General features: G+C 38.2%; 1 protein-coding gene across 8 annotated transcripts in view; it reads left to right on the forward strand.

Moving 5' to 3' along the window:
* The window catches only part of ZNF568 (zinc finger protein 568), an 81,601-nt gene that overhangs the window by 27,227 nt on the left and 42,057 nt on the right, over positions 1–12,317 (forward strand). For 4 of the 8 annotated variants that reach the window (XM_047438787.1, NM_198539.4, NM_001204836.2 and 1 more), the window contains one exon: positions 5,954–9,176. The exons of 3 other annotated variants lie outside the window; for them this stretch is intronic. In XM_047438787.1, coding sequence (XP_047294743.1) covers positions 5,954–7,530 — 1,577 coding nt within the window. In that variant the 3' untranslated portion in view covers positions 7,531–9,176. Of the gene's footprint in view, positions 1–5,953; positions 9,186–12,317 lie in introns of those variants that run through there. One more of the 8 variants, NM_001204835.3, reaches the window with a different exon arrangement.

Here is a 12,317-nt window from a genome sequence, read left to right on the forward strand (position 1 = left end):
ATATTTTTCATATATTATTATTATTATAATATTGAAGACAGAGTCTTGCTCTGTCGCCCAGGCTGGAGAGCAGTGGTGTGATCTTAGCTCACTGCAACATCCGCCTCCCGGGTTCAAGCGAGTCTCGTGCCTCCACCTCCCGAGTACTGGGATTAAAGGTGTGCGCCACCACACCTGTAATTTTTGTATTTTTAAGTAGAGATTGGGTTTCGCCATGTTGGCCAGGCTGGTCTCGAACTCTTGGCCTCAAGTGATCAGCCCGCTTTGGCCTCACAAAGTGCTGGGATTACAGTCATGAGCCACCACACCAGGCCCATATATTAATACTCAAATTGTCTCATCTTGAGCAAGAGGGATCTTTAGTTAATCTTGTAAGTTTCCCGCTCCAGACATGGAAATAGCCATTTCTTTAAAAACTTTTGCCTCTTTTAGCAGGAAATGATATTGTGGAGACTGCAGTCTGAGGATTATGGTTGCTCTTTAATACTGAGTTATTGGTTCTATAGCTTTTAAGTGGACAGAGCTAGGAAAAATGCATCTTTTAAAAAGAAAAAAATAGGCCAGTCACGGTGGCTCATGACTGTAATCCCAGCACTTGGGGAGGTTGAAGCAGGCGAATCACCTGAGGTTGGGAGTTTGAGACCAGCCTGACCAACATGGAGAAACCCCGTCTCTACTAAAAATACAAAATTAGTTGGGCGTGGTGGTGCATGCCTGTAATTCCAGCTACTCGGGAGGCTGAGGCAGGAGAATTGCTTGAACCTGGGAGGTGGAGGTTTTGGTGAGCCGAGATCATGCCATTGCACTCCAGCCTGGACAACAAGAGCAAAACTCCATCTCAAAAAAAAAACAAAAAAGAAAAAGAAAAATATATATGAATTTTAGATACATCCAATTAAAATTAAAAAGTATAGTGCCCTTTTACCTTTTATGCTGAAAATCTTGGCTCCTCATTACATGTTTATTTCCTTAATTCATATATATTTCTCACCCTTGACACTATTGACATTTTGGGCCAGATAATTCTTTGCTCTGGGGGACTGCCTTGTGTGTTGGGGGACGTTTAGCAGCATGCCTGCTTCTACTCACTGGATAACAGTAGCGCCATCCCTCTTTCTCCCCATCATCTTCCCAGTTGTGGAAACCAAAAATGTCTGTAGACCTTCCAGACATTGCCCAGTGACCCTTAAGGAGTAACACTGATTAATCTATCTTCTTTCTTTATATATTAATTTCAAATTAACAGTAATGCTAATATTACTAATAATAAAAAGACAACTAAACGTAATTTAAGATGTCTTTTGAGTTTTCTTCCTTAGAATATATTCTAATAGGGATATATAGTCAAACTACTATGTTTAAGGTTACTTGAAGTAATTTTCTATGTGATTATGACCCTCATTTGATAAGTAGGCTTGTTTCCAATTTTTTTCTATTTTTAGGGATTGCTTTGGCTTTTTTCTTTTTTGATTTAATTTTTATTTTTTCATATGTAAAATATGTACATGATTTTATTGTCAGAACTCTAAAGTTACAGTCAGAGAAGTCATGGTTTCAGTACATGTAAGTGAAAAAAACTCAGCGTAGAGAACATTGTTTAGAATATACTCTCTTTTATGTGCAAATGGATGGGAAGAGAGACAGAGAGAGAAGTGTGTGTGTGTGTGTGTGTGTGTGTGTGTGTGTGTGTGTGTATAAAATATATATTAAAAATACAATTGGCCCTCGGACAACATGGGTTTAAACTGCACGAGTCCACTTACATGCTGATTTTCTTACACCTCTGCCACCCAAGACAGCAAGACCGACCTCCTCCTCAGCCTACTCAGTGTGAAGATAATGAGGATGAAGATGTTTAGGATTATCCACTTCCACTTAATGAATAGTAAATGTATTTTCCTTATGATTATTGTAATAACATTTTATTTTCTCTAAGTTATTTTATTGTAAAAATGCAGCATATAATACATATACAAAATATGTGTTAATCAACTATGTTTTCAATAAGGCTTCTGGTCAACAGTAGGCTATTACTGGTTAAGTTTTGGGAGAGTCAAAAGTTAGAAACATTTGCAATTATGTGGAGGATTAGCACCTCATCCCCATGTTGTTCAAGGGCCAACTGTACATATGATATATGCGTGTATATGTACTATATATAAGGAAATGTGTGATTATATGTGTGTGTGTGTGTGTGTGTGTGTATGTATGTGTGTGTGTTTTTTTAAATAGTGGAAGAATAATCCAAGAACTGGCTGGGCGTGGTGTCTCATACCTGTAATCCCAGCACTTTGGAAGGCTGGGGCGGGCGGATCATGAGGTCAGAAGATAAAGACCATCCTGGCCAACATGGTGAAACCCTGTTTCAACTAAAAAAACGCAAAAAATTAGCCGGGCGTGGTGGTGTGCGCCTGTAGTTCCAGCTATTGGGGAGGCTGAGGCAGGGGAATCGCTTGAACCCGGGAGGCGGAGGTTGCAGTGAGCCGAGATTGCGCCACTGCACTCCAGCCTGGCGACAGAGTGAGACTCTGTCTCAAAATAATAATAATGATAACAATAATAATAATCCAAGAACTAATAAAAATGGTTATCTATAGGGCAAAGCAGGAATTGGTGTTTCAGGGACAGGGTGGAATCTGGACTTCCGCTGCTGTTTGGTAATTTGTCAGTTTTTATCAACTTGATATAAATAGAAGATGAGGTTTAGTAGCATTACCACAATCACTTCTCCTTTCCTTTTCTTCTGGAATATAGATACATCACAATTTTTAGCTAATTCAATTTCACCACTTACTTTGTTATGATTGTTGACATATTGTTTACTATGAGGCAAGAAATGACTCTTAATTAATATACTTATATAACTTTTTGTCACTCCTAGAATTACTACTTGCCTTATTTTTCTATTTTCTATGTATTATTAATTTAAATGATACCCTCAAAATTCTTTGTTTAAATAAGGAATCCATCGTTGTTATTAGTTTACCTCATTTTGATGCATGAAGGGATAAAAGGGAAATTCTAAACATCTTCCAAAATTCTAAATTTTAAAGAGGATAAAAGAAATTTTTTAGTTTTTTTTTTTGTTTCCTTTTTTTTTTTTTTTTTTTTGAGATGGAGTTTCGCTCTTGTTGCCCAGGCTGGAGTGCAAAGTTGCAATCTCGGCTCACCACAACCTCCGCCTCCCAGGTTCACGCGATTCTCCTGCCTCAGCCTCCCAAGTAGCTGGGATTATAGGCATGCTCCACCACACCCAACTAATTTTGTATTTTTAGTAGAGATGGGGTTTCTCCATGTTAGTCAGGCTGAACTCCCAACCTCTGGTGATCCGCCTACCTTGGCCTCCCAAAGTGCTGGGATTACAGGCTTGAGCCACTGCACCCTGCCTGTGTTTTTTTTAACTAGTGGACTATACTGTAGAATGGTTGGATCAGAACCTAGAAGATTTTTTGTTTGTTTGTTTGTTTGTTTGTTTGAGACTGAGTCTCACTCTGTTGCCCAGGCTGGAGTGCAGCGGCACGATCTCGGCTCACTGCAACCTCTGCCTCCCAGGTTCAAGCAATTCTCCTGCCTCAGCCTCCTGTCTAGCTGGGATTACAGGCACGTACCACCACGCCCAGCTAATTTTTGTATTTTTAGTAGAGACGGGGTTTCATCATGTTGGTCAGGCTGGTCTTGAACTCCCGACCTCGTGATCCACCTGCCTCGGCCTCCCAAAGTGCGGGGATTACAGGTGTAAGCCACCATGCCCTGGCTGAACCTGGAAGTTTTGTGTGGGGCCCCAAATGCCAGCATCTGTTGTTCCTTTTAATCTTTTTATCTCCTATGTGTAGGTACATGCCAGCATTCATGAGGCTAAATAACAGAAAGGGATTGTTGATCTCATTCATGTTAGAGTGTATGGTGAATCTAAATCACATGGGAACTCTACATGCAGTTATGTCTAGGAAATGTAGTTTTAACTGCCTCAGCCTTTACGGGATGGAAAAGCATGGTGGGAGACTGGAATACATGTTACTTAAGCAGATCCATAACTCTTGCCTTGGTGTGTAACTGCTCCCTACTCAGACTTTAATCCTCTTCTTTTTAGTCCCACTCTTATCCTACCCACTCCACTTTTTTTTGAGATGAGGTCTTGCTATGTTTCCCAGACTAGTCTCAAATTCCTGGGCTTTAGCAACCCTTCCAAGTAGCTGGGAATATAGGTACAGCCCACTGCATCTGGTTTTTTAAATTAATAAACTTCATCTTTTAGGCTGGTTTTAGGTTCACAACAAAACTGAGTGGTGTACAGAGCTCATGAAAAAGTACCAAGTATATGGATACCCACTGCCCAGGCACACACAGCCTTCCCCACTGTCAACATCTTGCACCACAGTGGTATATTTGTTACCATCAATGAACCTTCATTACTGTTATTATTATACACATTATTATTACACAAAGTCCATAATTTACATTAGGGTCACTCCTGGTGTTGTACATTCTATGGGTTTTGGTAAATGTATAATGACTCAGATCCATTATAGTATCTTACAGAATACTTTCACTGTCCTAAAACTCCTCTCTCTTCCTCCTGTTTATTCCTTCCTCTCCCATAAGCTCTGGCAACCACTGATACCTTTACTAGTCATCATTTTGCCTTTTCCAGTTTGGAATCATATAGTAGGTGGCCTTTTCCAATGGGTTTCTTTTACTTAGCAACATGCATTTAAGGTTCCTCCATGTCTTTTCATAACTTGATAGCACATCTGTTTTTATCATTGATGAATATTTCATTGTCTAGATGTAGCACAGTTTATCCGTTCACCTAGTAAAGGGCATCTTCCAAGTGTTGGCAATTAGGAATAAAGCTGCTGTAAATATCCATGTGCAGATTTTTGTATGGACATATGTTTTCAACTCATTGGGGTAAATACCAAGCATGATTGCTGAATAATATGGTAATAGTATGGCTAATTTTGTAAGAAACTGCCAGACTGTCTTCCAAAGTGGCTGTACCATTTTGCAGTCCCACCAGCAATGAGTGAGAGGTCCTATTGCTCTGCAAACTTGTCAGCCTTTGACTTAGTAGTTGCAGCAGGGGTTTTTTGTTGTTGATTTTTTTTTTTTTTTTTTTTTTTTTCAGATTTCCTACATAGATGATCACATCACCTGTGAACAAAGACAGTTGTTGTTTCGTTTTTCCTTCCTAATCTGAATAGCTTTTATTTCCTTTTCTTGTTATTGCATTAGGTAGGACTTCTAGTACAATGTTAAAAAGCAGTAATGCGAGGGAACATCCTTGCCTTGTGCTTGTTTATCCCTACCTTTTGAGCGCCTAGATTCTCCAATTCTTGAGCCTTTCCAGTGATTTCTGGCCAAATCTCTTTGTTGCTTATTGTCATTTGCATCTTCATGATACTTTGTAGCTTTGCTATTCAGTTTATCCTAAATGCTTCTCATCCTGCAGTATTATGTTAAAATCTCTTGTTCATCTTTTTTTACACTCACGTCTCCTTTTTCTTATGGATTTAACCCTTTATTCCTTCACTATCATTTTAATGGCATTTTAGGAAGGAGGAAAAATACATGCATTCAAGCCTGTGTGTTTAGTCACAAATGTTCATTTTGTTCTCTAGCCGTTTGACTCCCTATCAGTCATTTTTGTGTTCACCCTTTCATTTTAATTATTCTATTCATTTTGCTGATTTCTGCACTATACGTGGACGCTTTAAAAATCAGTCAAGGCTACTTGGACCTACAGATGTCAGTTTTTGTCTCCATATGTTTTATGTAGTAGTTAACTTCTCAAACCTTAGGAACTAGGAACATTTACTCTTAGCTTTCTTTTGTATTGGTTGACTAGGCCAACATCAAAGATTAAACCCCACATTAGCCTATTTCTGATATGTTATTAATAGTCTAGTGGTAGAATAATTCACAAGTAATAATTTCTGGTCCTCCATTTTAGAAGTTTGGGAAGTTGATGAACAGATCAAGAAGCAACAGGAAACACTTGTGAGGAAAGTCACATCCATCTCCAAGAAAATTCTGATAAAGGAAAAAGTCATTGAATGTAAAAAAGTTGCGAAAATATTTCCTCTGAGTTCAGACATTGTTACTTCAAGACAAAGCTTCTATGACTGTGACTCACTTGATAAGGGTTTGGAACATAATTTAGACTTACTTAGATATGAGAAAGGCTGTGTAAGAGAGAAACAGAGTAATGAGTTTGGGAAACCATTTTACCATTGTGCATCCTATGTTGTAACCCCCTTTAAGTGTAATCAGTGTGGACAAGACTTCAGTCATAAATTTGACCTCATTAGACATGAGCGAATTCATGCTGGAGAGAAACCTTACGAATGTAAAGAATGTGGAAAAGCCTTCAGTAGGAAGGAAAATCTTATTACACATCAGAAAATTCATACTGGGGAAAAACCGTATAAGTGTAATGAATGTGGAAAAGCTTTCATTCAGATGTCAAACCTTATTAGACACCACAGAATTCATACTGGGGAGAAACCTTATGCATGTAAGGATTGTTGGAAAGCCTTCAGTCAGAAATCAAATCTCATTGAACATGAGCGAATTCACACTGGAGAGAAACCCTATGAATGTAAGGAATGTGGGAAATCCTTCAGCCAGAAGCAAAATCTTATTGAGCACGAGAAAATTCATACTGGGGAGAAACCTTATGCATGTAATGAATGTGGTAGAGCTTTTTCTCGAATGTCATCTGTTACGCTACATATGAGAAGTCACACAGGGGAGAAACCCTATAAATGTAATAAATGTGGAAAAGCTTTCTCTCAATGCTCAGTATTTATTATACATATGAGAAGTCACACTGGTGAGAAACCCTATGTATGTAGTGAATGTGGGAAAGCCTTCTCTCAGAGTTCATCCCTAACCGTACATATGCGAAATCATACAGCTGAGAAACCCTATGAATGTAAGGAATGTGGAAAAGCCTTCAGCAGGAAAGAAAATCTCATTACACATCAGAAAATTCACACTGGAGAGAAACCTTATGAATGCAGTGAATGTGGGAAAGCTTTTATTCAGATGTCAAACCTCATTCGACACCAGAGAATTCATACGGGTGAGAAACCCTATGCATGTACAGTATGTGGAAAAGCCTTTAGTCAGAAATCAAACCTCACTGAACATGAGAAAATTCATACTGGAGAGAAACCTTATCATTGTAATCAATGTGGGAAAGCTTTCAGTCAGAGACAAAATCTTCTTGAGCATGAAAAAATTCATACTGGAGAGAAACCATTCAAATGTAATGAATGTGGTAAAGCCTTCTCTCGAATCTCATCCCTCACTCTTCATGTGAGAAGTCACACAGGGGAGAAACCCTATGAATGTAATAAATGTGGGAAAGCCTTTTCTCAGTGCTCATTACTTATTATACATATGAGAAGTCATACTGGTGAGAAACCCTTTGAATGTAATGAATGTGGGAAAGCATTCTCTCAAAGAGCATCCCTTTCTATACATAAGAGAGGTCATACAGGTGAGAGACACCAAGTATATTAAATGAAAGAAGGCCTCTTAAATTCAACCCATGTTTTACTTAAAATATCTTGGCATAAGCTCAAAAAAGCCAGGATCTTTATGGAAAAATTTTAATACTTTGTTAAAAGGTGTAAGACTGGAATAAATGGAAAGAAATACCATATACATAGATGGAAAAACCCAGTATTATAAAAACCTCAATTCTGAAAATCTATAGACTGAATGCAGTTCCAAACAAAATCAACTAAGAATTTTCTAGGATCTTTCAAAAATGATTATAAAATTCATGTGAAATAGAAGTGTATGAATTGCTGCGACAATTTTGAAAAGAATAGAGGAAACACCCTCACTGTATGATATAAAGTTATAGTCATTTAAAAATGTGTGATATTAGTACATTAGTAGGTAAATGAGCAGATTTTAAAGAATAGAATATCCAGAAGCAGATTCATGAATATATGTGAACTCAGTGTATGTTAGACCTGACATCATGAATTAGTAGGGAAATGATGACCTAGTCAATAAAATTGCTGGGAATATTTGACTCTCCGTATTGGAGAAAATAAAATTACAACATTACGACATACTAAAAAATCAATATTCTTTTTTTTTTTTTTTTTTTTTTGAGACAAGCGTCTCACTCTGTCGCCCAGGCTGGAGTACGGTGGTGCAATCTCAGCTCACTGCAGCCTCTGCTTTCCGGGTTTTTTTGTTTTGTTTTGTTTTGTTTTTTGTATTTTTAGTAGAGACGGGGTTTCACCATGTTGGCCAGGGTAGTCTTGAACTCCTGACTTCAAAAGTGATCGCCCTCTTTGGCCTCCCAAAGTGCTGGGGTTTACAGGCTTGAGCCACTGCACCTGGCCAAAAAATTAACATTCTAAAGGATTTAAATACTGGAATTTGAAAAGCCAAACTGTGAAACCATTGGGAGAAAATAGATGATATTGTCTATGACGTTGAGGCCAAGGAGCTTTTTTTTTTTTTTTTTCAAGACAAAAGGACTCTGTAATTCCACTTCTAGGTATATATACATCCTATAGAAACTCACAAATAATGCATAAGAAATATATATATAATATATGTATGTATGTATAGCCAGATGCAGTGGCACATGCCTGTAATCCCAGCTACTTGGGAGGCTGATAGAAGAAGATAACTTGAGGTCAGGAGTTCAAGACCAGCCTGGGAAACATAGCAAGACCCCATCTCTTAAAAAAAAAGAAATATATAGACATATATCTGCATTGAAAACAACCTAAATATTCATCAGTGGGGTAATGGATGAATAAAATATGATATATTCAAATGATAGAATAGTATACAGCACTTAAAAGCAGTGAACCAGATCCATATTGTGTAACATGGATAGTTAAAACAATGTTGAATGAAAAAAATCAAAATACAAATGAAACATTGTGTAATAATATTTATGTAAATTGGAATGAAATCATTTATAAAGAACAACTGTTTCTATTATTGAAAATTGTATGTAAAACTATTTAAAATAGAATAGAAGGATACACACCCAATTATTGATAGCATTGTCTCTGGAGATTGAATTTGAGGCTGTTGATTAAAAGGAGACTTTAGCTTTGCTTGTAGTTTTTATACCTTAAAAAGACTGGTAGCATATAAAATAAATCTTAAAAGCTAATTATACACAATGACAATATGAATGTTTACTTGTAATAGTGTTTTTCTTGTTCTTTCTCACAACAGGCCAAGGGAAGCCTGTGCCCATAGAAGGAAATGTTATAATGGATTCATATGCCCTATCAGATGCTCAACTATTTTATGAAAAATCTCTCTAGAAAATTAGTAATTAGAATATTCTTGTTTATTATATAATGTGAAATTAGCACATTTTAGCAACTTGATGATGCTGTGTTTTTATATTTTAACATTTCTGAAATTGGACTCCTTTCAACTGATGATATCTTAGATTCAAGTAAATATTTAATTATTAAAAATTTGAAAATCAGATGCCAGTATAACAAATGAAATGTGTTTTTATTTACTAGCTCCGGGCATCATGTCTACTACTCACGGTGCCTGTCCTTTCAGTGGAGCCAGTATTATTAGACAGCAAATTTATTAGGTTCATAGCTAACTAATTACCAATATATTTAGAGTATTGTGGAGAGATTAAGATTTTTCCTGGGAAAGTGACTTTGCAATATTTGTTTTCTTGCCCTGTAATTTTCCATACAACCAGCATAGGCATTAATATCATTGTTAATTATAACAATATTTTGAAATGAGAAATCATTTATTTCCTGAGGTGGCCATAAGCAATTGTGTAAAAGTGTGTTGGTTTTAATCTAGAGACCATTTTATTCTTTTTACAACTCTTGACTTACACAGCCCATCCGGTTTTGGTTGGAAATGGTGGTGAACTTAGACCCTGAGCACTAATAGTAGAGTTCCTCTTGAAGAGTCTCATTCTCTGTAATAATACATGAACCAACCCTTACAGAGGTGATGTTTTTATTATGCCATCTCTACAATATTAGTTGATATACATTACAGAAAGCTGCTAATGCCTTTTTAAAAAGGAGATAGGGCCAGACGCAGTAGCTCAAGCCTGTAAACCCAGCGCTTTGGGAGGCCGAGGCGGGTGGATCACCTGAGGTCAGGAATTCAAGACCAGTCTGGTCAACAGGATGAAACCCCGTCTCTACTAAAAATACAAAAATTAGCCAGGCATGGGGCGGGTGCCTGTAATCCCAACTACTCAGAAGGCTGAGGCAGGAGAATTGCTTGAATGCGGGAGGCAGAGGTTGCAGTGAGCCAAGATTGTGCCACTGCACTCCAGTCTGCGTGACAGAGTAAGACCCTTTCTCAAAAAAATAAAAAATAAATAAAAAGGAGATAGGCTGGGTGTGGTGGCTCACGCCTGTAATCCCAGCACTTTGGGAGGCCTAGGCGGGCCGATTACTTGAGGTCAGGAGTTCGAGACCAGCCTGGCCAATATGGTGAAAGCCCACCTCTACTAAAAATACAAAAATTAGCTGGGCGTGGTGGTGCATGCCTGTAATCCTAGCTACTCAGGAGGCTGAGGCAGGAGAATTGCTTGAACCTAGAGGGGCGGAGGTTGCAGTGAGCCAAGATCACGCCAGTGCACTTCAGCCTGGGCGACACAGCAAGACTCTGCCTCAAAAAAATAAAAACAATACAAAGGAGATAAAAATAGGGGGTGTTTGTGAAAAGGGATCTTTAGCTTTTATGATTGAACATTAACTACATTTGTTTGAAGTTGATTTCACAAAAGTAAATCTCAGACTAAAGATGTGAAGTACAACCATGACTATCAGTTTTGATTGTTATTAGGTATTTTTGAAGACTGATGGTGACTTAACAACAGCAGGGACTGACTTCAGTGAAAACAATGACAACTTACCCAAACTGAAATATCTAAATGAGTATTATCATTTCGTAGTCCCTTCTTCAATAAGTTTTATACTAAATCCAGTTTTGCTAGCATACCCAATATTTATGTGTAAACTTTTTTTTTTTTTTTGAGACAAAGTCTTGCTCTGTCACCCAGGCTGCAGAGCAATGGCGTGATCTTGGCTCACTGCAACCTCTGCCTCCGGGTTCAAGTGATTCTCCTGCCTTAGCCTCCCAAGCAGCTGGGACCACAGGTGCGTGCCACCATGCCTGGCTAATTTTTTTTTTTTTTGTATTTTTAATGGAGCTGGGGTTTCACCATGTTGGCCAGGCTGGTCTCGAATCCTGACCTCAGGTGATCCACCCACCTTGGCCTCCCAAAGTGCTGGGATTACAGGTGTGAGCCACTGTACCAGCCTGTAAACCTTTTTCTTTTTTTGGAGAGGGGGTCTCCCTCTGTTGCCCAGGCTGGAATGCAGCAGCATGATCTCGGTTCACTGCAACCTGCGCCTCCTGGGTTCAAGTGATTCTCCTGCCTCAGCCTCCTGAGTAGCTGGGGCTACAAGCTCCCGCCACCATGCCCGGCTAATTTTTGTATTTTCATAGAGACAGGGTTTCACTACGTAGGTCAAGCTGGTCTGTGAGCCACCATGCCCAGCCTGTAAACCTTTTTTTAAAAAATGGTTTTCGCATTTCGTGTATCCACACAAGTAACCCTGTATAAATATTTGTGAGACTTTTTTTTTTTGTCTAAACAGTTGTTTTTATCTGTGATTTTCTTTTTAATGTTTTTTGTTTGTTTGTTTGTTTGTTTTTGGCCTGTACTTTATATGCCTTAAATCCTCTGCCCCTTTCTTTACATAGCTTTAGAGTCAACAGAGAAATGTAAAATTCCACTTAAGGCCCATAAGGACAACCTTAGATTTCTCTTTTGGCCTCTCTCACCCCAGTAAGACTGGCTGAACCTATCAGGTGAGGTAAAGTGCCTCAGAGTAGGTCTAAAAGGGCGTTTTACTGATCTTGTGTCAGCAAGCAGATGATCTGGTCTCTGTAAATTCATTTTTTCCTTCTGTCCTAAGGGGTAGAAATAATAAGATAGATATAAGTGACTGAGACAGACTTTGAAAAAAATCATTAATTAAATCATGGTGAATTCTTCTTTTCCTGGACACACATGAGTTACTGCCTAGAGAGTTTCCATTCTAGAGTTCAAACTTCATAAGAGGTTCAGTTCCTGTGAATGGCCTCAAAACACACAGAATAAAACATACTAATAGTGGCTTGGACTAGACACAGCAGTAGAAATTGATAGATTTCAGATACATTTTGGAGGTGATTCAACATAATGAGTTCATATGAAAGATGAGGAGTAAAGAGATAAAGGATAACTCCTATGTTTTTATGGAAAGAAACTGGCT

The sequence above is a fragment of the Homo sapiens genome, chromosome 19 (genome assembly GCF_000001405.40).
Source record: "Homo sapiens chromosome 19, GRCh38.p14 Primary Assembly".
In the NCBI taxonomy this organism is placed as follows: Eukaryota; Metazoa; Chordata; class Mammalia; order Primates; family Hominidae; genus Homo; species Homo sapiens.